We start from the raw sequence: 25930 nt of genomic DNA on the forward strand, positions 1-25930 counted from the left end.
GCCCAGGGGGCTCATTCCTCACAACGGCCTTTCCCGGCCCAGTTTTTCCCTTCCGGCGGCCTCTCCGGGCCCAGAAGCTCCTCAAGTCGGCCTCTCCAGACCCACTTGCAGCCTCCTGGCGTCCTCTCCGGGCCCAGCTCTTCCTCCCGGCTGCGTCTGCAGGCCCGGCTCCTGCCTCCCAACAACCTCTTTGGACTCAGTGCCTGCCCAGCTCGTGGTGGCCTTGGTCGGCCCACAGCTTCCTCAAGCCAAGCTCCCCAGGCCCAGCTCAGGCCTCACGGTGGCCTCTCCAGGCTCAGCTCCTGCCCTCCGACGGCGTCTCCAGGCCCCAAACAGCCTCCGGTCGGTGGGCTTCTCCAGGCCCAGCTTGGGCCTCCCGGCGGCCTCTGCAGGCCCAAGTGGTCCTGAAGTCAGCCTCTCCAGGCCCAGCTCCGGCCTCCCAGCAAGCAAGCTCTTTTGGCTCAGCTCCTGCCCAGCTCCCGCCGGCTTTTATAGACCCTGAACTTTCTCCAGCGAAGCTCCTCAGTCCCACCTCCTGCCTCCCGGTGGCCTGTACAGGCCCAGGTCTGGCTGGAGAACAGCCTCTGAAGGCCCCGCTCTTGCCTCCCAGGGGCGTCTCCAGGCCCAGCTCTCGCCTCACGGCGGCCTCCCGGGACCAAGTCCCTGCCTGCCTCCCAGCAGCCTGTGTGCGGCCCAGCTCCTCCGTCATGGTGGCCTGTTGAGGCCCAACTCATGCCTCTGGCACCCTTTCCAGAGGCGTGAGCCCCTGCCTCACATTGGACTCTCTCACACTGAGGGAGGTCAGCGTGAGCCCCTGCCTCACACTGGCCTCTCTCACGCTGAGGGAGGTCAGCGTGGGCCCCTGCCTCACACTGGCCTCTCTCACGCTGAGGGAGGTCAGCGTGGGCCCCTGCCTCACACTGGCCTCTCTCACGCTGAGGGAGGTCAGCGTGAGGCCCTGCCTCACACTGGCCTCTCTCACGCTGAGGGAGGTCAGCGTGAGGCCCTGCCTCACACTGGCCTCTCTCACGCTGAGAGAAGTCCTCCCTCACGCTGGCCTGTTGAGGCCCAGTTCATGCCTCTGTTGGCTTCTCCAGGCCCAGCCCCTGCCTGTTGGCGGCCTCTACCTCAACAGTGGGCCCTCCACGCCCACCTCTTGCCTCGCCGTGGCCTCCTCGGGCCAGGCTCCCGCCTTGGGGCGGCCCCCGCAGGCCCAGCTCCTGCCTCACGGCCCTCCAGAGGCCAAGCTCATGCGTCAGGGCGGCCTCTCCCGGCCTGGCGTTTGCTCCTTTGCATGGGCTCCAAATCCTGTACTTCCTCCAGTCGTTCTCTCCAGGCCCAGCTCTTCCTCCCAGCAGCCTCTGCAGGACCAGACTGTCGTCAAGTAGGCCTGTCCAGGGACAGCTCCTGCCTCCCGGCAGACTCTGCAGGCCCAAGTCGTCCTCAAGTCAGCCTCCCCAGGCCCAACTCCGGCCTCTCGGCGGCCTCTCCAGGTGCAAAAGTTCCTCGAGTCCGTCTCTCCAGGTCCAGCTCCTCCTGTCTCCCAGTGGCCTCTTTCAGCCCAGCCCAGCTCATGCCTCCCGGCGGCCTTCCCAGGCCCCGCTTCTGACTTTCCGCGGCCTCTGCAGGCCCCGAACTTGACCTCCAGTCGGCCTCTGCAGGCCTGGCCTCCTGCCTCCCGAAAGCTTGCACAGGCCCAGCCTGTGCCTCACAGCGGACCCTCCACGCCCAGCTCGCTCTCGCCTGCGGCCTCCCGAGTCCAAAGCTCCGGCCTCTCCGCCGCTTCGGCAGGCCCAGCTCCCGCCTGCCAGTGGCCTCCTCAGGCCCATGGGGCTCATTCCTCACAACGGCCTTTCCCGGCCCAGTTTTTCCCTTCCGGCGGCCTCTCCGGGCCCAGAAGCTCCTCAAGTCGGCCTCTCCAGACCCACTTGCAGCCTCCCGGCGTCCTCTCCGGGCCCAGCTCTTCCTCCCGGCTGCATCTGCAGGCCCGGCTCCTGCCTCCCAACAACCTCTTTGGACTCAGTGCCTGCCCAGCTCCTGGTGGCCTTGGTCGGCCCACAGCTTCCTCAAGCCAAGCTCCCCAGGCCCAGCTCAGGCCTCACGGTGGCCTCTCCAGGCTCAGCTCCTGCCCTCCGACGGCGTCTCCAGGCCCCAAACGGCCTCCGGTCGGTGGGCTTCTCCAGGCCCAGCTTGGGCCTCCCGGCGGCCTCTGCAGGCCCATGTGGTCCTGAAGGCAGCCTCTCCAGGCCCAGCTCCGGCCTCCCAGCAAGCAAGCTCTTTTGGCTCAGCTCCTGCCCAGCTCCCGCCGGCTTTTGTAGACCCTGAACTTTCTCCAGCGAAGCTCCTCAGTCCCACCTCCTGCCTCCCGGTGGCCTGTACAGGCCCAGGTCTGGCTGGAGAACAGCCTCTGCAGGCCCCGCTCTTGCCTCCCAGGGGCGTCTCCAGGCCCAGCTCTCGCCTCACGGCGGCCTCCCGGGACCAAGTCCCTGCCTGCCTCCCAGCAGCCTGTGTGCGGCCCAGCTCCTCCGTCACGGTGGCCTGTTGAGGCCCAACTCATGCCTCTGGCACCCTTTCCAGAGGCGTGAGCCCCTGCCTCACATTGGCCTCTCTCACACTGAGGGAGGTCAGCGTGAGCCCCTGTCTCACACTGGCCTCTCTCACGCTGAGGGAGGTCAGCGTGAGCCCCTGCCTCACACTGGCCTCTCTCACGCTGAGGGAGGTCAGCGTGGGCCCCTGCCTCACACTGGCCTCTCTCAAGCTGAGGGAGGTCAGCGTGAGGCCCTGCCTCACACTGGCCTCTCTCACGCTGAGAGAAGTCCTCCCTCACGCTGGCCTGTTGAGGCCCAGTTCATGCCTCTGTTGGCTTCTCCAGGCCCAGCCCCTGCCTGTTGGCGGCCTCTACCTCAACAGTGGGCCCTCCACGCCCACCTCTTGCCTCGCCGTGGCCTCCTCGGGCCAGGCTCCCGCCTTGGGGCGGCCCCCGCAGGCCCAGCTCCTGCCTCACGGCCCTCTGGAGGCCAAGCTCATGCGTCAGGGCGGCCTCTCCCGGCCTGGCGTTTGCTCCTTTGCATGGGCTCCAAATCCTGCACTTCCTCCAGTCGTTCTCTCCAGGCCCAGCTCTTCCTCCCAGCAGCCTCTGCAGGACCAGACTGTCGTCAAGTAGGCCTGTCCAGGGACAGCTCCTGCCTCCCGGCAGACTCTGCAGGCCCAAGTCGTCCTCAAGTCAGCCTCCCCAGGCCCAGCTCCGGCCTCTCGGCGGCCTCTCCAGGTGCAAAAGTTCCTCGAGTCCGTCTCTCCAGGTCCAGCTCCTCCTGTCTCCCAGTGGCCTCTTTCAGCCCAGCCCAGCTCATGCCTCCCGGCGGCCTTCCCAGGCCCCGCTTCTGACTTTCCGCGGCCTCTGCAGGCCCCCGAACTTGACCTCCAGTCGGCCTCTGCAGGCCTGGCCTCCTGCCTCCCGAAAGCTTGCACAGGCCCAGCCTCTGCCTCACAGCGGACTCTCCACGCCCAGCTCGCTCTCGCCTGCGGCCTCCCGAGTCCAAAGCTCCGGCCTCTCCGCCGCTTCGGCAGGCCCAGCTCCCGCCTGCCAGTGGCCTCTTCAGGCCCATGGGGCTCATTCCTCACAACGGCCTTTCCCGGCCCAGTTTTTCCCTTCCGGCGGCCTCTCCGGGCCCAGAAGCTCCTCAAGTCGGCCTCTCCAGACCCACTTGCAGCCTCCCGGCGTCCTCTCCGGGCCCAGCTCTTCCTCCCGGCTGCGTCTGCAGGCCCGACTCCTGCCTCCCAACAACGTCTTTGGACTCAGTGCCTGCCCAGCTCGTGGTGGCCTTGGTCGGCCCACAGCTTCCTCAAGCCAAGCTCCCCAGGCCCAGCTCAGGCCTCACGGTGGCCTCTCCAGGCTCAGCTCCTGCCCTCCGACGGCGTCTCCAGGCCCCAAACGGCCTCCGGTCGGTGGGCTTCTCCAGGCCCAGCTTGGGCCTCCCGGCGGCCTCTGCAGGCCCAAGTGGTCCTGAAGTCAGCCTCTCCAGGCCCAGCTCCGGCCTCCCAGCAAGCAAGCTCTTTTGGCTCAGCTCCTGCCCAGCTCCCGCCGGTTTTTGTAGACCCTGAACTTTCTCCAGCGAAGCTCCTCAGTCCCACCTCCTGCCTCCCGGTGGCCTGTACAGGCCCAGGTCTGGCTGGAGTACAGCCTCTGCAGGCCCCGCTCTTGCCTCCCAGGGGCGTCTCCAGTTCCAGCTCTCGCCTCACGGCGGCCTCCCGGGACCAAGTCCCTGCCTGCCTCCCAGCAGCCTGTGTGCGGCCCAGCTCCTCTGTCACAGTGGCCTGTTGAGGCCCAACTCATGCTTCTGGCACCCTTTCCAGAGGCGTGAGCCCCTGCCTCACATTGGCCTCTCTCACGCTGAGGGAGGTCAGCGTGAGCCCCTGCCTCACACTGGCCTCTCTCACGCTGAGGGAGGTCAGCGTGGGCCCCTGCCTCACACTGGCCTCTCTCACGCTGAGGGAGGTCAGCGTGGGCCCCTGCCTCAAACTGGCCTCTCTCACGCTGAGGGAGGTCAGCGTGAGGCCCTGCCTCACACTGGCCTCTCTCACGCTGAGGGAGGTCAGCGTGAGGCCCTGCCTCACACTGGCCTCTCTCACGCTGAGAGAAGTCCTCCCTCACGCTGGCCTGTTGAGGCCCAGTTCATGCCTCTGTTGGCTTCTCCAGGCCCAGCCCCTGCCTGTTGGCGGCCTCTACCTCAACAGTGGGCCCTCCACGCCCACCTCTTGCCTCGCCGTGGCCTCCTCGGGCCAGGCTCCCGCCTTGGGGCAGCTCCCGCAGGCCCAGCTCCTGCCTCACGGCCCTCCGGAGGCCAAGCTCATGTGTCAGGGCGGCCTCTCCCGGCCTGGCGTTTGCTCCTTTGCATGGGCTCCAAATCCTGCACTTCCTCCAGTCGTTCTCTCCAGGCCCAGCTCTTCCTCCCAGCAGCCTCTGCAGGACCAGACTGTCGTCAAGTAGGCCTGTCCAGGGACAGCTCCTGCCTCCCGGCAGACTCTGCAGGCCCAAGTCGTCCTCAAGTCAGCCTCCCCAGGCCCAGCTCCGGCCTCTCGGCGGCCTCTCCAGGTGCAAAAGTTCCTCGAGTCCGTCTCTCCAGGTCCAGCTCCTCCTGTCTCCCAGTGGCCTCTTTCAGCCCAGCCCAGCTCATGCCTCCCGGCGGCCTTCCCAGGCCCCGCTTCTGACTTTCCGCGGCCTCTGCAGGCCCCGAACTTGACCTCCAGTCGGCCTCTGCAGGCCTGGCCTCCTGCCTCCCGAAAGCTTGCACAGGCCCAGCCTCTGCCTCACAGCGGACTCTCCACGCCCAGCTCGCTCTCGCCTGCGGCCTCCCGAGTCCAAAGCTCCGGCCTCTTCGCCGCTTCGGCAGGCCCAGCTCCCACCTGCCAGTGGCCTCCTCAGGCCCATGGGGCTCATTCCTCACAACGGCCTTTCCCAGCCCAGTTTTTCCCGTCCGGCGGCCTCTCCGGGCCCAGAAGCTCCTCAAGTCGGCCTCTCCAGACCCACTTGCAGCCTCCCGGCGTCCTCTCCGGGCCCAGCTCTTCCTCCCGGCTCCGTCTGCAGGCCCGGCTCCTGCCTCCCAACAACCTCTTTGGACTCAGTGCCTGCCCAGCTCGTGGTGGCCTTGGTCGGCCCACAGCTTCCTCAAGCCAAGCTCCCCAGGCCCAGCTCAGGCCTCACGGTGGCCTCTCCAGGCTCAGCTCCTGCCCTCCGACGGCGTCTCCAGGCCCCAAACGGCCTCCGGTCGGTGGGCTTCTCCAGGCCCAGCTTGGGCCTCCCGGCGGCCTCTGCAGGCCCAAGTGGTCCTGAAGTCAGCCTCTCCAGGCCCAGCTCCGGCCTCCCAGCAAGCAAGCTCTTTTGGCTCAGCTCCTGCCCAGCTCCCGCCGGCTTTTGTAGACCCTGAACTTTCTCCAGCGAAGCTCCTCAGTCCCACCTCCTGCCTCCCGGTGGCCTGTACAGGCCCAGGTCTGGCTGGAGAACAGCCTCTGCAGGCCCCGCTCTTGCCTCCCAGGGGCGTCTCCAGGCCCAGCTCTCGCCTCACGGCGGCCTCCCGGGACCAAGTCCCTGCCTGCCTCCCAGCAGCCTGTGTGCGGCCCAGCTCCTCCGTCACGGTGGCCTGTTGAGGCCCAACTCATGCTTCTGGCACCCTTTCCAGAGGCGTGAGCCCCTGCCTCACATTGGCCTCTCTCACGCTGAGGGAGGTCAGCGTGAGCCCCTGCCTCACACTGGCCTCTCTCACGCTGAGGGAGGTCAGCGTGGGCCCCTGCCTCACACTGGCCTCTCTCACGCTGAGGGAGGTCAGCGTGGGCCCCTGCCTCAAACTGGCCTCTCTCACGCTGAGGGAGGTCAGCGTGAGGCCCTGCCTCACACTGGCCTCTCTCATGCTGAGGGAGGTCAGCGTGAGGCCCTGCCTCACACTGGCCTCTCTCACGCTGAGAGAAGTCCTCCCTCACGCTGGCCTGTTGAGGCCCAGTTCATGCCTCTGTTGGCTTCTCCAGGCCCAGCCCCTGCCTGTTGGCGGCCTCTACCTCAACAGTGGGCCCTCCACGCCCACCTCTTGCCTCGCCGTGGCCTCCTCGGGCCAGGCTCCCGCCTTGGGGCGGCCCCCGCAGGCCCAGCTCCTGCCTCACGGCCCTCCGGAGGCCAAGCTCATGCGTCAGGGCGGCCTCTCCCGGCCTGGCGTTTGCTCCTTTGCATGGGCTCCAAATCCTGCACTTCCTCCAGTCGTTCTCTCCAGGCCCAGCTCTTCCTCCCAGCAGCCTCTGCAGGACCAGACTGTCGTCAAGTAGGCCTGTCCAGGGACAGCTCCTGCCTCCCGGCAGACTCTGCAGGCCCAAGTCGTCCTCAAGTCAGCCTCCCCAGGCCCAGCTCCGGCCTCTCGGCGGCCTCTCCAGGTGCAAAAGTTCCTCGAGTCCGTCTCTCCAGGTCCAGCTCCTCCTGTCTCCCAGTGGCCTCTTTCAGCCCAGCCCAGCTCATGCCTCCCGGCGGCCTTCCCAGGCCCCGCTTCTGACTTTCCGCGGCCTCTGCAGGCCCCGAACTTGACCTCCAGTCGGCCTCTGCAGGCCTGGCCTCCTGCCTCCCGAAAGCTTGCACAGGCCCAGCCTCTGCCTCACAGCGGACTCTCCACGCCCAGCTCGCTCTCGCCTGCGGCCTCCCGAGTCCAAAGCTCCGGCCTCTCCGCCGCTTCGGCAGGCCCAGCTCCCACCTGCCAGTGGCCTCCTCAGGCCCATGGGGCTCATTCCTCACAACGGCCTTTCCCGGCCCAGTTTTTCCCTTCCGGCGGCCTCTCCGGGCCCAGAAGCTCCTCAAGTCGGCCTCTCCAGACCCACTTGCAGCCTCCCGGCGTCCTCTCCGGGCCCAGCTCTTCCTCCCGGCTGCGTCTGCAGGCCCGGCTCCTGCCTCCCAACAACCTCTTTGGACTCAGTGCCTGCCCAGCTCGTGGTGGCCTTGGTCGGCCCACAGCTTCCTCAAGCCAAGCTCCCCAGGCCCAGCTCAGGCCTCACGGTGGCCTCTCCAGGCTCAGCTCCTGCCCTCCGACGGCGTCTCCAGGCCCCAAACGGCCTCCGGTCGGTGGGCTTCTCCAGGCCCAGCTTGGGCCTCCCGGCGGCCTCTGCAGGCCCAAGTGGTCCTGAAGGCAGCCTCTCCAGGCCCAGCTCCGGCCTCCCAGCAAGCAAGCTCTTTTGGCTCAGCTCCTGCCCAGCTCCCGCCGGCTTTTGTAGACCCTGAACTTTCTCCAGCGAAGCTCCTCAGTCCCACCTCCTGCCTCCCGGTGGCCTGTACAGGCCCAGGTCTGGCTGGAGAACAGCCTCTGCAGGCCCCGCTCTTGCCTCCCAGGGGCGTCTCCAGGCCCAGCTCTCGCCTCACGGCGGCCTCCCGGGACCAAGTCCCTGCCTGCCTCCCAGCAGCCTGTGTGCGGCCCAGCTCCTCCGTCACGGTGGCCTGTTGAGGCCCAACTCATGCCTCTGGCACCCTTTCCAGAGGCGTGAGCCCCTGCCTCACATTGGCCTCTCTCACGCTGAGGGAGGTCAGCGTGAGCCCCTGCCTCACACTGGCCTCTCTCACGCTGAGGGAGGTCAGCGTGAGCCCCTGCCTCACACTGGCCTCTCTCACGCTGAGGGAGGTCAGCGTGGGCCCCTGCCTCAAACTGGCCTCTCTCACGCTGAGGGAGGTCAGCGTGAGGCCCTGCCTCACACTGGCCTCTCTCACGCTGAGGGAGGTCAGCGTGAGGCCCTGCCTCACACTGGCCTCTCTCACGCTGAGAGAAGTCCTCCCTCACGCTGGCCTGTTGAGGCCCAGTTCATGCCTCTGTTGGCTTCTCCAGGCCCAGCCCCTGCCTGTTGGCGGCCTCTACCTCAACAGTGGGCCCTCCACGCCCACCTCTTGCCTCGCCGTGGCCTCCTCGGGCCAGGCTCCCGCCTTGGGGCGGCCCCCGCAGGCCCAGCTCCTGCCTCACGGCCCTCTGGAGGCCAAGCTCATGCGTCAGGGCGGCCTCTCCCGGCCTGGCGTTTGCTCCTTTGCATGGGCTCCAAATCCTGCACTTCCTCCAGTCGTTCTCTCCAGGCCCAGCTCTTCCTCCCAGCAGCCTCTGCAGGACCAGACTGTCGTCAAGTAGGCCTGTCCAGGGACAGCTCCTGCCTCCCGGCAGACTCTGCAGGCCCAAGTCGTCCTCAAGTCAGCCTCCCCAGGCCCAGCTCCGGCCTCTCGACGGCCTCTCCAGGTGCAAAAGTTCCTCGAGTCCGTCTCTCCAGGTCCAGCTCCTCCTGTCTCCCAGTGGCCTCTTTCAGCCCAGCCCAGCTCATGCCTCCCGGCGGCCTTCCCAGGCCCCGCTTCTGACTTTCCGCGGCCTCTGCAGGCCCCGAACTTGACCTCCAGTCGGCCTCTGCAGGCCTGGCCTCCTGCCTCCCGAAAGCTTGCACAGGCCCAGCCTCTGCCTCACAGCGGACTCCCCACGCCCAGCTCGCTCTCGCCTGCGGCCTCCCGAGTCGAAAGCTCCGGCCTCTCCGCCGCTTCGGCAGGCCCAGCTCCCGCCTGCCAGTGGCCTCTTCAGGCCCATGGGGCTCATTCCTCACAACGGCCTTTCCCGGCCCAGTTTTTCCCTTCCGGCGGCCTCTCCGGGCCCAGAAGCTCCTCAAGTCGGCCTCTCCAGACCCACTTGCAGCCTCCCGGCGTCCTCTCCGGGCCCAGCTCTTCCTCCCGGCTGCGTCTGCAGGCCCGACTCCTGCCTCCCAACAACGTCTTTGGACTCAGTGCCTGCCCAGCTCGTGGTGGCCTTGGTCGGCCCACAGCTTCCTCAAGCCAAGCTCCCCAGGCCCAGCTCAGGCCTCACGGTGGCCTCTCCAGGCTCAGCTCCTGCCCTCCGACGGCGTCTCCAGGCCCCAAACGGCCTCCGGTCGGTGGGCTTCTCCAGGCCCAGCTTGGGCCTCCCGGCGGCCTCTGCAGGCCCAAGTGGTCCTGAAGGCAGCCTCTCCAGGCCCAGCTCCGGCCTCCCAGCAAGCAAGCTCTTTTGGCTCAGCTCCTGCCCAGCTCCCGCCGGCTTTTGTAGACCCTGAACTTTCTCCAGCGAAGCTCCTCAGTCCCACCTCCTGCCTCCCGGTGGCCTGTACAGGCCCAGGTCTGGCTGGAGAACAGCCTCTGCAGGCCCCGCTCTTGCCTCCCAGGGGCGTCTCCAGGCCCAGCTCTCGCCTCACGGCGGCCTCCCGGGACCAAGTCCCTGCCTGCCTCCCAGCAGCCTGTGTGCGGCCCAGCTCCTCCGTCACGGTGGCCTGTTGAGGCCCAACTCATGCCTCTGGCACCCTTTCCAGAGGCGTGAGCCCCTGCCTCACATTGGCCTCTCTCACGCTGAGGGAGGTCAGCGTGAGCCCCTGCCTCACACTGGCCTCTCTCACGCTGCGGGAGGTCAGCGTGAGGCCCTGCCTCACACTGGCCTCTCTCACGCTGAGAGAAGTCCTCCCTCACGCTGGCCTGTTGAGGCCCAGTTCATGCCTCTGTTGGCTTCTCCAGGCCCAGCCCCTGCCTGTTGGCGGCCTCTACCTCAACAGTGGGCCCTCCACGCCCACCTCTTGCCTCGCCGTGGCCTCCTCGGGCCAGGCTCCCGCGTTGGGGCGGCCCCCGCAGGCCCAGCTCCTGCCTCACGGCCCTCCGGAGGCCAAGCTCATGCGTCAGGGCGGCCTCTCCCGGCCTGGCGTTTGCTCCTTTGCATGGGCTCCAAATCCTGCACTTCCTCCAGTCGTTCTCTCCAGGCCCAGCTCTTCCTCCCAGCAGCCTCTGCAGGACCAGACTGTCGTCAAGTAGGCCTGTCCAGGGACAGCTCCTGCCTCCCGGCAGACTCTGCAGGCCCAAGTCGTCCTCAAGTCAGCCTCCCCAGGCCCAGCTCCGGCCTCTCGGCGGCCTCTCCAGGTGCAAAAGTTCCTCGAGTCCGTCTCTCCAGGTCCAGCTCCTCCTGTCTCCCAGTGGCCTCTTTCAGCCCAGCCCAGCTCATGCCTCCCGGCGGCCTTCCCAGGCCCCGCTTCTGACTTTCCGCGGCCTCTGCAGGCCCCGAACTTGACCTCCAGTCGGCCTCTGCAGGCCTGGCCTCCTGCCTCCCGAAAGCTTGCACAGGCCCAGCCTCTGCCTCACAGCGGACTCTCCACGCCCAGCTCGCTCTCGCCTGCGGCCTCCCGAGTCCAAAGCTCCGGCCTCTCCGCCGCTTCGGCAGGCCCAGCTCCCGCCTGCCAGTGGCCTCCTCAGGCCCATGGGGCTCATTCCTCACAACGGCCTTTCCCGGCCCAGTTTTTCCCGTCCGGCGGCCTCTCCGGGCCCAGAAGCTCCTCAAGTCGGCCTCTCCAGACCCACTTGCAGCCTCCTGGCGTCCTCTCCGGGCCCAGCTCTTCCTCCCGGCTGCGTCTGCAGGCCCGGCTCCTGCCTCCCAACAACCTCTTTGGACTCAGTGCCTGCCCAGCTCGTGGTGGCCTTGGTCGGCCCACAGCTTCCTCAAGCCAAGCTCCCCAGGCCCAGCTCAGGCCTCACGGTGGCCTCTCCAGGCTCAGCTCCTGCCCTCCGACGGCGTCTCCAGGCCCCAAACGGCCTCCGGTCGGTGGGCTTCTCCAGGCCCAGCTTGGGCCTCCCGGCGGCCTCTGCAGGCCCAAGTGGTCCTGAAGTCAGCCTCTCCAGGCCCAGCTCCGGCCTCCCAGCAAGCAAGCTCTTTTGGCTCAGCTCCTGCCCAGCTCCCGCCGGCTTTTGTAGACCCTGAACTTTCTCCAGCGAAGCTCCTCAGTCCCACCTCCTGCCTCCCGGTGGCCTGTACAGGCCCAGGTCTGGCTGGAGAACAGCCTCTGCAGGCCCCGCTCTTGCCTCCCAGGGGCGTCTCCAGGCCCAGCTCTCGCCTCACGGCGGCCTCCCGGGACCAAGTCCCTGCCTGCCTCCCAGCAGCCTGTGTGCGGCCCAGCTCCTCCGTTACGGTGGCCTGTTGAGGCCCAACTCATGCCTCTGGCACCCTTTCCAGAGGCGTGAGCCCCTGCCTCACATTGGCCTCTCTCACGCTGAGGGAGGTCAGCGTGAGCCCCTGCCTCACACTGGCCTCTCTCACGCTGAGGGAGGTCAGCGTGAGCCCCTGCCTCACACTGGCCTCTCTCACGCTGAGGGAGGTCAGCGTGGGCCCCTGCCTCAAACTGGCCTCTCTCACGCTGAGGGAGGTCAGCGTGAGGCCCTGCCTCACACTGGCCTCTCTCACGCTGAGGGAGGTCAGCGTGAGGCCCTGCCTCACACTGGCCTCTCTCACGCTGAGAGAAGTCCTCCCTCACGCTGGCCTGTTGAGGCCCAGTTCATGCCTCTGTTGGCTTCTCCAGGCCCAGCCCCTGCCTGTTGGCGGCCTCTACCTCAACAGTGGGCCCTCCACGCCCACCTCTTGCCTCGCCGTGGCCTCCTCGGGCCAGGCTCCCGCCTTGGGGCGGCCCCCGCAGGCCCAGCTCCTGCCTCACGGCCCTCCGGAGGCCAAGCTCATGCGTCAGGGCGGCCTCTCCCGGCCTGGCGTTTGCTCCTTTGCATGGGCTCCAAATCCTGCACTTCCTCCAGTCGTTCTCTCCAGGCCCAGCTCTTCCTCCCAGCAGCCTCTGCAGGACCAGACTGTCGTCAAGTAGGCCTGTCCAGGGACAGCTCCTGCCTCCCGGCAGACTCTGCAGGCCCAAGTCGTCCTCAAGTCAGCCTCCCCAGGCCCAGCTCCGGCCTCTCGGCGGCCTCTCCAGGTGCAAAAGTTCCTCGAGTCCGTCTCTCCAGGTCCAGCTCCTCCTGTCTCCCAGTGGCCTCTTTCAGCCCAGCCCAGCTCATGCCTCCCGGCGGCCTTCCCAGGCCCCGCTTCTGACTTTCCGCGGCCTCTGCAGGCCCCGAACTTGACCTCCAGTCGGCCTCTGCAGGCCTGGCCTCCTGCCTCCCGAAAGCTTGCACAGGCCCAGCCTCTGCCTCACAGCGGACTCTCCACGCCCAGCTCGCTCTCGCCTGCGGCCTCCCGAGTCCAAAGCTCCGGCCTCTTCGCCGCTTCGGCAGGCCCAGCTCCCACCTGCCAGTGGCCTCCTCAGGCCCATGGGGCTCATTCCTCACAACGGCCTTTCCCGGCCCAGTTTTTCCCTTCCGGCGGCCTCTCCGGGCCCAGAAGCTCCTCAAGTCGGCCTCTCCAGACCCACTTGCAGCCTCCCGGCGTCCTCTCCGGGCCCAGCTCTTCCTCCCGGCTGCGTCTGCAGGCCCGACTCCTGCCTCCCAACAACGTCTTTGGACTCAGTGCCTGCCCAGCTCGTGGTGGCCTTGGTCGGCCCACAGCTTCTTCAAGCCAAGCTCCCCAGGCCCAGCTCAGGCCTCACGGTGGCCTCTCCAGGCTCAGCTCCTGCCCTCCGACGGCGTCTCCAGGCCCCAAACGGCCTCCGGTCGGTGGGCTTCTCCAGGCCCAGCTTGGGCCTCCCGGCGGCCTCTGCAGGCCCAAGTGGTCCTGAAGTCAGCCTCTCCAGGCCCAGCTCCGGCCTCCCAGCAAGCAAGCTCTTTTGGCTCAGCTCCTGCCCAGCTCCCGCCGGCTTTTGTAGACCCTGAACTTTCTCCAGCGAAGCTCCTCAGTCCCACCTCCTGCCTCCCGGTGGCCTGTACAGGCCCAGGTCTGGCTGGAGAACAGCCTCTGCAGGCCCCGCTCTTGCCTCCCAGGGGCGTCTCCAGGCCCAGCTCTCGCCTCACGGCGGCCTCCCGGGACCAAGTCCCTGCCTGCCTCCCAGCAGCCTGTGTGCGGCCCAGCTCCTCCGTCACGGTGGCCTGTTGAGGCCCAACTCATGCCTCTGGCACCCTTTCCAGAGGCGTGAGCCCCTGCCTCACATTGGCCTCTCTCACGCTGAGGGAGGTCAGCGTGAGCCCCTGCCTCACACTGGCCTCTCTCACGCTGAGGGAGGTCAGCGTGGGCCCCTGCCTCAAACTTGCCTCTCTCACGCTGAGGGAGGTCAGCGTGAGGCCGTGCCTCACACTGGCCTCTCTCACGCTGAGGGAGGTCAGCGTGAGGCCCTGCCTCACACTGGCCTCTCTCACGCTGAGGGAGGTCAGCGTGAGGCCCTTGCCTCACACTGGCCTCTCTCACGCTGAGAGAAGTCCTCCCTCACGCTGGCCTGTTGAGGCCCAGTTCATGCCTCTGTTGGCTTCTCCTGGCCCAGCCCCTGCCTGTTGGCGGCCTCTAGAGGCCCAGCCTCTACCTCAACAGTGGGCCCTCCACGCCCACCTCTTTCCTCGCCGTGGCCTCCTCGGGCCAGGCTCCCGCCTTGGGGCGGCCCCCGGAAGCCCAGCTCCTGCCTCACGGCCCTCCGGAGGCCAAGCTCATGCGTCAGGGCGGCCTCTCCCGGCCTGGCGTTTGCTCCTTTGCATGGGCTCCAGGTCCTGCACTTCCTCCAGTCGGCCTCTCCAGACCCAGCTCTTCCTCCCAGCAGCCTCTGCAGGACCAGACTGTCGTCAAGTAGGCCTGTCCAGGGACAGCTCCTGCCTCCCGGCGGCCTCTGTAGGCCCAGACTGTCTTCAAGTAGGCCTGTCCAAGGACAGCTCCTGCCTCCCGGAGACCTCTGTAGGCCCAAGTCGTCCTCAAGTCGGCCTCCCCAGGCCCAGCTCCGGCCTCTCGGCGGCCTCTCCAAGTGCAAAAGTTCCTCGAGTCAGTCTCTCCAGGCCCAGGTCCTCCTGTCTCCCAGTGGCCTCTTTCGGCCTAGCCCAGTTCATGCCTCCTGGTGGCCTTCCCAGGCCCCACTTTTGACTTTCCGCAGCCTCTGCAGATTCCGAACTTGACCTCCAGTCGGCCTCTCCAGGCCCGGCCTCCTGCCTCCCGAAGGCCTGCACAGGGCCAGTCTCTGCCTCACAGTGGGCTCTCCACCCCCAGCTAGCTCTCGCCTCACTGCAGCCTCCCAAGTCCAAATCTCCTGCCTCTTGGCCGCTTCGGCAGGCCCAGCTCCCACCTGCCAGTGGCCTCTTCAGGCCCATGGGGCTCATTCCTCACAACGGCCTTTCCAGGCCCATTTTTTCCCGTCCGACTGCCTCTCAGGACCCAGAACCTCTGGGCCCACTTGAGGAGATGCAGCCAGGAGGAACAGCTGGGCTTGCAGAGGCTGCCATGAGGGAGGCAGAGGCTGGGCCTCCTGAAGTCGGCCTCTCCAGACCCACTTGCAGCCTCCCGGCGTCCTCTCCGGGCTCAGCTCTTCCTCCCGGCTGCGTCTCCAGGCCCGACTCCGGCCTCCCAACAACCTCTTTGGACTCAGCTCCCGCCCAACTCCCGGTGGCCCTGGTTGGCCCACAACTTCCTGAAGCCAAGCTCCCCAGGCCCAGCTCAGGCCTCACGGTGGCCTCTCTAGGCTCAGCTCCTGCCCTCCGACGGTGTCTCCAGGCCCCGAACGGCCTCCAGTCGGTGGATTCCTCTATGCCCAGCTTGGGCCTCCCGGCGGCCTCTGCTGGCCCAAATCGTCCTGAAGTCGCCCTCTCCAGGCCCAGCTCCGGCCTCCCGGCGGCCTCTCCAGGCGCAACGCATCGTCAACGAGGGCCCCTCCGGGGCCAGCTCCTGCCTCTCGTCAGCCTCTAGAGACCCAGCCTCTGCCTCCCGCATGGCGGCCTCTGCAGGCCCAGACTGCCCTTGAGTCAGGCTCTCCAGGGCCAGCTCCAGCCTCCCGGCAGACTCTGCAGGCCCAAGTCATCCTCAAGTCGGCCTGGAAGTGGGCCTGGAAGAGCTGCACGTTGGCCTCCCCGGGCCCAGCTCCGTCCTCTCGGCGGCCTCTCCAGGTGCAAAACTTCCTCGAGTCAGCCTCTCCAGGTCCAGCTCCTCCTGCCTCCCAGTGGCCTCTTTCAGTCCAGCCCAGCTCGTGGCTGTAGGCAGCCTTCCCAGGCCCTGCTTTTGACTTTTGGCGGCCTCTTCAGGCCCAGAACTTGATCTCCAGTCAGCTTTTGCAGGCCCGGCATCCTGCCTCCCGAAGGCCTCTTTCAGCCCAGCCCAGCTCGTGGCTGTAGGCAGCCTTCCCAGGCCCTGCTTTTGACTTTTGGTGGCCTCTTCAGGCCCAGAACTTGATCTCCAGTCAGCTTTTGTAGGCCCGGCATCCTGCCTCCCGAAGGCCTGCACGGGCCCGGCCTCGGAATCACAGCAGACTCTCCACGCCCAGCTAGCTCTCACCTCACTGTGGCCTCCCCAGTCCAAAGCTCCTGCCTTTCGGCCGCTTCGGCAGGCCCAGCTCCCGCCTGCCAGTGGCCTCTTTAGGCCCAGCTCATTCCTCACAATGGCCTTTCCAGGCCCCATTTTTCCCTTCCGGCAGCCTCTTGGCCTCTAATTTTTTTTATCTTTTGTGTATAAATCCCAAAATATGGAATTTTGGAATATTTCCACCATTATATAAATATTTTGGTAGGTAATTTATTTGGAGTGAGTTTCTGCACCAAGCCCGAATTTTTTATTTTATTTTCCTTATTATTTGGTGTTAAACAGGTTTAATGACAGTCATGGCAACTTTTTGGCACAATAGAAAATATCGCCCATGATCAACGTGTTCTGTTCTGGGGAAGGGGGCAAAGGCAGGGTGAATCACTTTCTTAAAAAGTACAACTCAAGTTGGGAGTGCAGAGGGAATCGGGAGAAAACCCTCCCGCTGCCTGTGTCGAAGTGCAGGAGCCCCCACCCCCATACTCACCTGAGTCCAGCCCCTCTGGAGAAAGAAGGGGTGCATGAACTCCCCCTATTCCACAGGCACCTCCCTGTGGCCCAAGGCCCTCTTCACACTCCATCTTGTAGCCCCAGCAGGAGCTATTTTCCGAAAAGTGAAAAGCTCTGAAGGTCCCACACTTCATGGTATGTACAGGGGCTCAGAGGAGGGAAACTGCCCAGCTTTCCCCCGGCACAGCTGCAGGGGTAGGGGGTATATATAAGAGGAGCAGGCCTTGGCCAGGCGTGGTGGCTCACACCTGTAATCACAGCACTTTGGGAGGTGGAGGCCGGTGGATCACGATTTCAGGAGATTGAAATCAGCCTGGCCAAGATGGTGAAGCCCCGTCTGTACTAAAAATACAAAAATTAGCCGGACGTGGTAGCGTGCACCTGTAATCCCAGCTACCCAGAAGACTGAGGCAGGAGAATGGCGTGAACCCGGCAGTAAGAGGTTGCAGTGAGCCAAGATCTCACCACTGCACTCCAGCCTGGGTGACAGAGCCAGACTCCGTCTCAAAAGGAAAAAAAAAAAAAAAGCAGGCCTTATTCCTTCCCAAACTGAAAGGATTAAATGGCTTTATCCTGGAGAAGATAACCATCCTGCCCTCCATTGCTACCCCCACATAGTGTCCGTGTTCTCAGGGGGTACTGCGAGTCCTGGGATCTTCTTTGGGGTCGCCCACCTGCCTGTGGTAGTTATGGAGGGACCCAGGTGTTGAGGCAGGGCTGGGGTGTCCCCTTCCAGCCAGGCTGTCGAGGCCCCAGCTCTGGGGCAGAGGCAGTGGCAGGGCAGCCAGGGTTGCGCCAGAGCCTGAGCAGGGTGAGGTGGGGTCAGACAGGGCTGGGAGTCAGGGCAGGGGCAGCAGCAGTGGACCCACTATGCACACATCTTCTTCTCCAAGGTTTGTGTGCAGAGCATCCTGCCCATGCTGCCCCAGCAGCTTCAGTTGGCACCTGCCCCAGTCCAGCCTCTGGGACCCATGCAGCGGCTCCCAGCGGCCCTGCACCCACCACCAGCATCCGTTTCACCTGCAGTTGAAGATCCGTGAGGTGCCCAGAAGATCATGCAGTCATCAGTCCCACGGAGCAGCCCGCGAGGCTGAGCCTCCTCCCACTGGACCGCCCCCCAACTGGCACCATTGCTGCCCCTGCCCCTACTCTCAGCCTCACGTGACTCTTGGGCAGAGGCAGTGGTGGGGCAGCCAGGGCAGCGTCAGAGTCTGAGCCAGGTGAGGTGGGGACAGGACCCCCTCAGGGCTGGGAGTCAGGGCAGGGGCAGAACAAACCTTGGAGGGGAAGATGTGTGCATAGTGGGCCTGGAGAGCGGCTGTGGCCTAGTGGACAGGAAGAAGCAGTGGGCCTGGAAAAGCTGCACGATCAGGGCCGGCACTGGTCCAGGGCGCGTGCAGTGAAGAGGACAGCGCCTTCTCGGTCTCCGGTTCCCTGAGCCCGTCCTTGGCTTCTCCACCTGTACAGGCAAAGGGGAAGCTGTCCCCATCACACATGGCACACTTGGGGGTGTTGGGCTTTGGGCTGCAGATGGAGCATCTTCTCATCTTGCATTTGGGTGTGGTGGGGTCGTCCAGTGCGGGATCCATGTCCGTGGGGTTCCCTCTGCCCCAACCCCCAAAGCCCAGTTTCTCCTCTTCAGGCTCTGCCCCCTGGGTGGCTCAGCCCAGCTCCTGCCTAGGAAAGCCTTAGTGTTGGGAGGGACTGCGATGACTGAGGGGCCTGGTAGCTCCAGGTCGCCCACACTTTCAGGTCTCTTGCACCAGAAGGTGGAAGGATCCATTGGGAGGAAACAGGTCACCTTGGAAGGCATCCCTGGGCCCCCATCCCCAGGGGTTGGGGCCGTAGGGGGCCCACTCTGCTGCCCTGACCAGACTCCTAGGCTTTGAAGGCTCCTGGGCCCAGTAAGAAGGAGGTGGGTGCCAAGGTTGAGGAGGAAGCATCCGAGTATGTGTAGGAGGAGGAGGGGGTGGGACCATGGACTTTGCCAAAAACTGCAGATGGATCGGGGGACCCTGGGGGCTCAGGATCCAGCAAGGGGCGGCAGGAGTAAAGGAGGAAGGAATGACAGGTGCAAATACCTTCCCACCAAAGCCCTTGTTGCCCTCTGGCTCCTCCCCAGAGCTGTCACCACTCTCAGTCGGTCACCCACTCCTTGAACTTGAGATCAGTGTCAGTGGTGCTAAAGCCGTCATCAGCAATGACATTGTCACCCCCTCCTCCTCATGGATGACCATGTGCTCCTCATCACTCACTATGTCGTCACTGGCCATGTGCTGGGAATGAGCAGCTCAGGTGGGCAGCAGCAGGGCTGCCTACTGGTCACCTCCCTCACCAGGGGCTGCAAAGTGGCCTGGAGCTCCATACTGAGTAGAAGGCTTTGGGCCAGAGTATGATGCAGTGCCAGACACCACTTCTGTCAGTTCCTGTAGTGCCTGACGGTCTATTTCCCTGCCGTCCAGGCTGTGTACACCCCTGTGGGAGAAGGCTTGGGCCAGGCTGAGCCAGGTTCCCTGTATGCAGCCGTTCTGCCCCACAGAAGCTGCTCCTTGGTATCCGAGCTCTGGAGTGTCTGGGCTGCAACTGACAGGAGTTCAGAGGACACCCCAGGGGCAGTGGCAGTGCTCGTCTCTGATATACTCTGCTCCCAGGAGCCCTTGTATACTCCTGCTAGCCCCTGGCTTGTGGGCTTGGCCTCTGAGCTGTACTTCTTTCGGTCCCTGTTGCAAGTGGGCCACCTTCACCTGGAAGGCCAGGTCGTGGTACTTCTGCATCTCATTGGGCCCCAGGGTGTACCACCGCTCGCTCAGGATCTGGCAGACGGTCCGGTTGTCCTGGTTGGGGTGACCCTGGTGCGCCCTGCCAGGGCCTGGTGCCGCTTGCTGAAGCTCATGACCACCACTTATGGGCCACGGGATGTGGTCCTTGTCCCATTTGTTGGGGCTGCATCCATCCTTCTCAGAAGATGAGTCCTGTTCCTTGCGCAGGGCACTGAGGGACTGGGCCTGACATCATCTGAGTGGTAGAGGCAACTGGGTGTCAGGAGACATGACGGAGAGGAAAGCATCATCGTGGTCATTCTCTGTCTCATTGTCCAGCAGGGACTCCTCTGAGGGGCCCAGGGCTCCTCCTCCATGGTGGGAGGTGGGCCCTTACCAGGTTCCACCACCCCCAAAGTGTGTGGGGTTCTGGGCCCTGGGCTTTCAGGGCAGGTGGCTCCAGGGGGCCACCCAGGGTCAACACTCCCTGTCCCACCTGGTGGATGCTCATGAGCAACAGCTGCCAACTTGGCAGGTTGTTTGCTCTGGTTGGAGGCCACTGAGTGACTGGCAGGTTGCTGGGCCTCGTGTGGCTCCAGGGAGGGGTCAGGAAGGGGACGGAGTACCAGGGGAACACGGCCACAGAGTGAGGTTCCACATTCCTCCACACGAACACGCTGACGCCACGGGAGGCCTCGCTGGACACAGTCCTGTGGGCCGAGTACTTGGTCTGGGCAGGGGGTTCCTGGCAGGGGCTCACACCTCCTCAGCCCCCTCCTCAGCCAAGGTGTCTTGGGCCCAGAGAAGGGGGTTTGGAGAGGAGCAGAAGGCCAGGCCTCAAGTTTTGTTTTTTGTTTTTGAAATGTAGTTTGACTCTTGTCACCCAGGTTGGAGTGCAGTGGCACAATCTCAGTGGCCTTCATACCTGGCTAATTTTTTGTATTTTTATTAGAGGTGGGGTTTCACCATGTTGGCCAGGCTGGTCTTGACCTCCTGACCTCAGGTGATCCACCCACCTCAGCCTCCCAAAATGGGATTACAGGCATGAGCCACCGCTCCCAACTTCATTCATTTTTACTTGAAAAACTCCCTTAAGCATTTTTTTAAGGTAGACCTAGTGGTCCTGGTGGCCGCCGTGATGCATGAGCTTGGCCTCCGGAGGGCCTCCGCGAGGCACGAGCTGGGTGTGTGGAGGCAGCCCCGAGGCGGGGAGCCTGGCCCGAGGACGCCATGGCGAGGCAAGAGGTGGGCCTGGAGGGCCCACTGTTGAGGTAGAGGCTTGGCGTCTAGAGGCCGCCAACAGGCAGGGGCTGGACCTGGAGAGGCCACCAGAGGCATGAGCTGGGCCTCAACAGACCAGCGTGAGGGAGGACCTCTCTCAGCATGAGAGAGGCCAGTGTGAGGCAGGGGCTCACGCCTCTGGACAGGGTGCCAGAGACACGAGTTGGGCCTAAACAGGCCACTGTGAGGGAGGAGCTGGGCCGCTCGCCGACTGCCGGGAGGCAGGCAGGGACTTGGCCCCAGGAGGCCACCGTGGGGTGAGAGCTGGGCCTGGAGAGGCCCCTGGGAGGCAAGAGCGGGGCCTGCAGAGGCTGTTCTCCAGCCAGAGCTGGGCCCGTACAGGCCACCGGGAGGCAGGAGGTAGGCCTGAAGAGCTTGGCTGGAGAAAGTTTGGGGCCTCCAAAGGCCAGCGGGAGCTGGGCAGGAGCTGAGCCAAAACAGATTGCTTGCTGGGAGGCAGGAGCTGAGCCAAAACAGATTGCTTGCTGGGAGGCAGGAGCTGGGCCGGGAGACGCAGCCAGGAGGAACAGCTGGGCCTGGAGAGGCCGCCAGGCGGGAGGCAGAGGCTGGGCCTCTAGAGGCTGATGGGAGGCAGGAGCTGGCCCTGGAGGGGCCCTCATTGAGGACGCGTTGCACCTGGAGAGGCCACCGGGAAGCCGGAGCTGGGCCTGGAGAGGCCGACTTCAGGACGACTTGGGTCTGCAGAGGCCGCTGGGAGGCCCAAGCTGGGCCTGGAGGACCCCACCGACCAGAGGCCATTTGGGGCCTGGAGATGCCATCGGAGGGCAGGAGCTGAGCCTGGAGAGGCTACCGTGAGGCCTGAGCTGGGCCTGGGGAGCTTGGCTTGAGGAAGCTGTGGGCCTACCAAGGCCTCCAGGAGCTGGGCAGCAACTGAGTCCAAAGAGGTTGTTGGGAGGCAGCAGTCGGGTCTGGAGACGCAGCTGGGAGGAACAGCTGGGCCCGGAGAGGCTGAATGGAGTAAATTCAGGGCCTGGAGAGGATGGGGCCCCACTCCTCTGACTGTGGTGGAGGAGCCTCTGCCTCCCTCCTGGCTGCCTCTCCAGGCCCAACTCTTCCTCCCGGCTATGTTTCCAGGCCCAAATTCTGCCTCACAACCAATGACCTCTTTTGGCTCAGCTCCTTCCAGCCTTTGTAGGGCCAAAACTTTCTCCAGTCAAGCTCTTTAGGCCCACCTCCTGCCTAGCGGGGGGCTGCACAGACCCAGCTCTAGCTTGAGAAGAGCCGCTGCAGGCCCCACTCCTGCCTCCCAGGGGACTGTCCAGGCCCAGCTCTCACCTCACGGCGACTTCCCAGGGCCCATTTCCTGCCTGCCTCCCGGCAGCCCTGACAGGCTGAGCTCCTCCCTCACGGTGGCCTCTTTAGGTCCAACTCATGCTTCTTGCATCCCGCCCTGGTGTCAGCTCATGCCTCACACTGGCCTCTCTAGGCCGAGGTCCTCCCTTACGCTGGCCTGTTGAGGCCCAGATCATGCCTCTCGTGGCCTCTGCAGGCCCAGCTCCTGCCTGTCGGCGGCCTCTACAGGCCCGGCCTCTACCTCATGGTGGGCACCTCCAGGCCCAGCTCCTGCCCAGCTCCTGGCGGCCTTTGTAGGCCAAAAACTTCAAGCAAAGCTCTCGAGGCCCAGCTCGGGCCTCACTGTGGCCTCTCCAGGCTCGGCTCCTGCCCTCTGGTGGCATCTCCAGGCCCCAGACTTTCTCCAGTTAGCTTCTCGAGGCCCAGCTTGGGACTCCCGGCAGCCTCTGCAGGCTCAAATCGTCCTGAAGTCCTCTCCATTTCCAGCTCCGGCCTCCCCACGGCCTCTCCAGGCGCAGCACATCCTCCAAGTGGCCCCTTCAGGGCCATCTCCTGCCTCCCATTGGTCTCTACAGGCCCAGCCTCTGCCTCCCTCATGGCTGCCTCTCCAGGCCCAGCTCTTCCTCTCAGGTCCATCTACAGGCCCAACTCCTGCCTCACAACACACCTCTTTTGACTCAGCTCCTGTCCAGCTGTCCTAAGCCTTTGTAGGCCCAAAACTTTCTCCCGCTAAGCTATTTAGGCCCACCTTCTGCCTCGCAGTGGCCTGTACAGACCCAGCTGTGGCTTGAGAACAGCCTCTGCAGGCCCTGCTCTTGCCTCTGAGGGGCCTCTCCAGCTCCAGCTCTCACCTCACTGTGGCTTCCCAGGACCTAGTTCCTGCCTGCCTCCCAGCAGCCTCGACAGGCCCAGCTCCTCCCTCAGAGTGGCCTGTTCAGGCCCAACTTATGCCTCTGGCCACCTTCCCAGAGGTGTGAGCTCCTGCCTCACGCTGGCCTCTGTAGGCCGAGGTCCTCCCTTATGCTGGCCTGTCGAGGCCCAGCTCATGCCTCTCCTGGCCTCTCCAGGGCCAGCCCCTGCCTGTTGGTGGCGTCTAGAGGCCCAGCCTCTACCTCGCAGTGGGCCCTCCTGGCCCACCTCCTTCCTCACCGTGGCCTACTCAGGGCAAGCCTCCTGCCTTTCGGCAGCCTCTGCAGACCCAGCTCCTGCCTCCCAGTGGCCTCCATACGCCAAGCTCATGCCTCACAGCAGCCTTTCCAGGCCTAGCATTTGCTCCTTTGCATCCTCTCCAGGTCCTGAACTTCCTCTAGTCGGCATCTCCAGGCCCAGCTTTTCCTTCCAGCAGCCCCTGCAGGCACAAGTCATCCTCAAGTCGCCCACCCCGGGCCCAGCTCTTGCCTCTTGGCGGCCGCTCCAGGTGCACAACTTCATCAAGTCGGCCTCTCCAAGCTCAGCTTCTCCTGCCTCCCAATGGCCTCTTTAGGCCTAGCCCAGCTCATGCCTCTCGGCAGCCTTCCCAGACCCAGCTTTTGACTTTTGTCTGCCTCTTCACGCCCAGAACTGGACTTCCTGTCGGCCTCTCCTGGCCCAGCCTCTTGCATCCTGAAGGCCCGTACAGACCCTGCCTCTGCCTCACAGCTGACTCTCCACACTGAGCTCTTGCCTCACTGTGACCTTCCCAGTCCAAATTCTTGCGTTTCAGCAAGTTCGACAGGACCAGCTCCTGCCTTCAAATGGCCTCTTTAGGCTTACCTCATTCCTCTCAACAGCCTCTCGAGGTCGAGTTTTTTCATTTTTGCAGCTTCTGTAGGCCCAGAACTTTCTCAAGTCTGCCTCTCCAGGTCCAGTTGCTGTCTCCAGGCATCCACTTCTTCCCCTTTTCTTCCTACATTTTGTGTCTAAAGGTTCAGCTTTTGCCTCACAACGTCCTCTTTGGATTAGCTCCTGTGCAGCTCCTCGCCTTTGTAGACTCAAATCTTTCTCAAGTTGAGTCCTCCGGTTTCACTGCCTTCCTGGTGGCTCCCTGAACAGGCCCAGCTTTTGCCTGACAATTGCTTCCCCAGGCTGCCTCAACAGACCCAGCTCTTGCCTCACACTGGCCTCTCTAAGCCCAGCTGCTGCCTCTCACTGTCCTCACCTGGCTCATCTCTTTCCTCACATCTGCCTCCCAAGTCCCAGCTCCTGTCTCACAGTTGTCTCAGTTATACCAGCTCCTTTCTCATGATGGCCTCTTCTGGCCCATCTTCGGCCTCATAGTGGCCAGTCGAACCCATGATGGCCTCTTCTGGCCCATCTTTGGCCTCATAGTGGCCACTGGAACCCATCATCTGCCTCATCATGGCCTCTTCTGGCTTTGCTTTTGCTTTGCAGTCACCTTTTCCAGATCCCGCTTTTTAGTCTTTAATGGTCAACAGCATCAAGGAGCCTAAAGCTTCCCTGGACTCTTATTTGTTGGTAACTTCACTGCACAGCAGAGTGCCTTAGCAAAACACCTGTCTCTTCTTTTAACCTTGACAGTGGATTTCTGACAAATTTATAATAAATTCTGCCTGTGTGGTTTCATAGTGATGTTTGTTTTATTTAGTGTCTCATAGTTTTTCTTGTCTTCTTTGGGTGGGAGTCAGAATGAGCCTCTGCTTGGGCCCTTTTTCTTTGCTCTGGACATGGTAGCTTCTCACTTCATGTTTTCTATATTTATATTTTTTTACAGTTATCTTTTTTGTTTTGTTAGGGTCTTGCTCTGTCACCCAGGCTGGAGTGTAGTCGTGTGATCATGGCTCACTGCAGCCTTGGCCGTTTGGCCTGAAGTGATTCTCCCAACTCAGCCTCTTGAGTAGCTGATGCTACAGGCACATGCCACAATGCCTGGCTAATTTCTAATTTTTTCTGAGAAGTTGGTTCTCACTTTGTTGCCCAGGCTGTTCCCAGACTTTCGGACACAAGCAATCGTTTTGCCTGAGCCTCCCAAAGTGCTGTGATCACAAGCATGAGCCACCATGCCTGGCCTGCTATTTGCTTGTCATGAACTATTAAGAATTTACTTTTTCATTAATATACTATTTCTATATAGATTTATGTATATATAGATATTTTACATTTTTCACGGATACCAATTTTTTCCCTTTTTTGAGGCAAGGTATGACTTTGTCATTAAGGATGGAGTGCAGTGGTATGACCCCGGCTCACTGCAACATCTTCTTTCTTGGCTTAAGTGATCCTCCCATCTCAGCCTCCTGAGTAACTTTAACCCCAGGTACAAGCCGCCATGCCCAGGTAATTTTTATATTTCTTGTAGAGAGGGGGTCTCACCATGTTTCCAAGGCTGGTTTCAAACTCCAAGTCTCAAGTGATCCTTCCCCCTCAGCCTCTTGCAGTGCTGGGATTACAGGTGGGAGCCACCACACCTGGCCTACCATTTTCTTTTCATGGATCATTAAGAATTTACTTTATGCCAGCACGGTGACTCATGCCTGTAATCCCAGCACTTTAGGAGGATGAGGTGGGTGGATTACGAGGTCAGGAGTTCAAGACCAGCCTGGCCAAGATGGTGAAACCCCGTCTCTACCAAAAATACAAAAATTAGCCTGGTGTGGTGGCAGGCGCCTGTAGTCCTAGCTACTCCAGAGGGTGAGGCAGGAGAATTGCTTGAACATGGGAGGCAGAGGTGGCAGTGAGCTGAGATCATGCCACTGTACTCCAGCCTGGGTGACAGAGTGAGACTCTATCTCAAAAGAAAAAAAAAGAATTTATTTTTTTATTAGTATAATGTAAATACATAAATGTGTGTATATATTCATATGTGAATATATGTGTGTATGTATCTTCACAGCATACACACACACACATACACACACACATACATTGTGAAAGATATATTTGAATACCTAGAAATTGATAAGCTTCTTCCAGGTTTTGAAACCACCCTTAGCACAAACACGAAAGAAGTACAAACTATCATTATTAATGACCATGGACCAAGATGACCATGAGTCAATAGTACTTTGTACCTCAACCACCTTCCAGCAGAGCATCTCAAAGGGCTGGATATATCTGAACATCACATGCTTTCACACAGACTAGCATGGTTTGTAATTATTACTTCTATTAAAAACTCAGTGTGATCCTTGTCAGGGTGAAATCAAACTATTTCTCAAATCATAGAGATACTGAATAACAGCTTTGGTCAGGAAATAGGTATTGCATTTGGTTTGTCATGACAAGCTCCTGGCCTAGGCAGATGGAATATAGCAGAAATGTGTGTGTGTGTGAACATTCTTGCGCACAGATGTGGGGGTGGAAGTGGGGGGATTGAATTTGATAAAACCAGCAGGGGGCAGGCTGCTGGAAAGGGGGAAATTGTTTTGGCAGTAGCTGTGTATCTCTAGA

General features: G+C 62.9%; 11 protein-coding genes and 3 pseudogenes across 11 annotated transcripts, besides 1 other annotated feature; 13 read left to right on the forward strand and 1 right to left on the reverse strand.

Moving 5' to 3' along the window:
• Positions 1 to 13: 13 nt before the first annotated feature.
• Positions 14 to 502, forward strand: LOC124901797 (putative uncharacterized protein FLJ44672; the record flags this gene model as incomplete). Its single annotated transcript, XM_047421166.1, has 1 exon — positions 14 to 502. A coding segment is annotated over one exon (489 nt), but the record flags the coding sequence as incomplete, so codon positions are not given.
• Positions 503 to 951: 449 nt separating this feature from the next.
• LOC124901645 (putative uncharacterized protein FLJ44672) lies at positions 952 to 2209 on the forward strand. Its single transcript, XM_047421142.1, has one exon. It carries the CDS (start codon positions 1076 to 1078, stop codon positions 1607 to 1609), a length of 534 nt encoding a protein of 177 aa, XP_047277098.1. The 5' UTR covers positions 952 to 1075; the 3' UTR covers positions 1610 to 2209.
• Positions 2210 to 2742: 533 nt separating this feature from the next.
• LOC124901650 (putative uncharacterized protein FLJ44672) lies at positions 2743 to 3403 on the forward strand. Its single transcript, XM_047421147.1, has one exon. The coding sequence runs from the start codon at positions 2851 to 2853 to the stop codon at positions 3382 to 3384; it is 534 nt and encodes a 177-aa protein (XP_047277103.1). The 5' UTR covers positions 2743 to 2850; the 3' UTR covers positions 3385 to 3403.
• LOC124901798 (putative uncharacterized protein FLJ92257) lies at positions 3402 to 4101 on the forward strand. Its single transcript, XM_047421167.1, has one exon. The coding sequence runs from the start codon at positions 3604 to 3606 to the stop codon at positions 4099 to 4101; it is 498 nt and encodes a 165-aa protein (XP_047277123.1). The 5' UTR covers positions 3402 to 3603.
• Positions 4102 to 4410: 309 nt separating this feature from the next.
• On the forward strand, positions 4411 to 5364 carry LOC124901644 (putative uncharacterized protein FLJ44672). The gene has a single exon (XM_047421141.1). The coding sequence runs from the start codon at positions 4675 to 4677 to the stop codon at positions 5206 to 5208; it is 534 nt and encodes a 177-aa protein (XP_047277097.1). The 5' UTR covers positions 4411 to 4674; the 3' UTR covers positions 5209 to 5364.
• A 2033-nt stretch (positions 5365 to 7397) lies between these two features.
• On the forward strand, positions 7398 to 8861 carry LOC124901647 (putative uncharacterized protein FLJ44672). The gene has a single exon (XM_047421144.1). It carries the CDS (start codon positions 8321 to 8323, stop codon positions 8852 to 8854), a length of 534 nt encoding a protein of 177 aa, XP_047277100.1. The 5' UTR covers positions 7398 to 8320; the 3' UTR covers positions 8855 to 8861.
• A 211-nt stretch (positions 8862 to 9072) lies between these two features.
• Positions 9073 to 9581, forward strand: LOC124901652 (putative uncharacterized protein FLJ92257). The gene has a single exon (XM_047421149.1). The coding sequence runs from the start codon at positions 9073 to 9075 to the stop codon at positions 9568 to 9570; it is 498 nt and encodes a 165-aa protein (XP_047277105.1). The 3' UTR covers positions 9571 to 9581.
• LOC124901648 (putative uncharacterized protein FLJ44672) lies at positions 9970 to 10540 on the forward strand. Its single transcript, XM_047421145.1, has one exon. The coding sequence runs from the start codon at positions 10000 to 10002 to the stop codon at positions 10531 to 10533; it is 534 nt and encodes a 177-aa protein (XP_047277101.1). The 5' UTR covers positions 9970 to 9999; the 3' UTR covers positions 10534 to 10540.
• Positions 10062 to 10647: an enhancer, noted in NCBI's record as "H3K4me1 hESC enhancer chr7:63221836-63222421 (GRCh37/hg19 assembly coordinates)". NCBI's record gives its function as "activates a minimal SCP1, AML or CMV promoter by ChIP-STARR-seq in primed H9 embryonic stem cells {active_cell/tissue: H9 hESC(primed)}" and the evidence as "EXISTENCE:reporter gene assay evidence [ECO:0000049][PMID:30033119]".
• Positions 10749 to 11249, forward strand: LOC124901651 (putative uncharacterized protein FLJ44672). Its single transcript, XM_047421148.1, has one exon. It carries the CDS (start codon positions 10752 to 10754, stop codon positions 11247 to 11249), a length of 498 nt encoding a protein of 165 aa, XP_047277104.1. The 5' UTR covers positions 10749 to 10751.
• A 573-nt stretch (positions 11250 to 11822) lies between these two features.
• LOC124901646 (putative uncharacterized protein FLJ44672) lies at positions 11823 to 12537 on the forward strand. Its single transcript, XM_047421143.1, has one exon. It carries the CDS (start codon positions 11823 to 11825, stop codon positions 12354 to 12356), a length of 534 nt encoding a protein of 177 aa, XP_047277099.1. The 3' UTR covers positions 12357 to 12537.
• Positions 12538 to 12574: 37 nt separating this feature from the next.
• LOC102724777 (putative uncharacterized protein FLJ46235) lies at positions 12575 to 13636 on the forward strand (annotated as a pseudogene).
• A 10-nt stretch (positions 13637 to 13646) lies between these two features.
• LOC124901643 (putative uncharacterized protein FLJ44672) lies at positions 13647 to 16416 on the forward strand. Its single transcript, XM_047421140.1, has one exon. The coding sequence runs from the start codon at positions 13647 to 13649 to the stop codon at positions 14256 to 14258; it is 612 nt and encodes a 203-aa protein (XP_047277096.1). The 3' UTR covers positions 14259 to 16416.
• CICP24 (capicua transcriptional repressor pseudogene 24) lies at positions 17806 to 19720 on the reverse strand (annotated as a pseudogene).
• Positions 20180 to 22755, forward strand: LOC112267980 (putative uncharacterized protein FLJ46235; annotated as a pseudogene).
• The last annotated feature ends 3175 nt before the right edge of the window (positions 22756 to 25930 follow it).

The sequence above is a fragment of the Homo sapiens genome, chromosome 7 (assembly GCF_000001405.40).
Source record: "Homo sapiens chromosome 7, GRCh38.p14 Primary Assembly".
In the NCBI taxonomy this organism is placed as follows: Eukaryota; Metazoa; Chordata; class Mammalia; order Primates; family Hominidae; genus Homo; species Homo sapiens.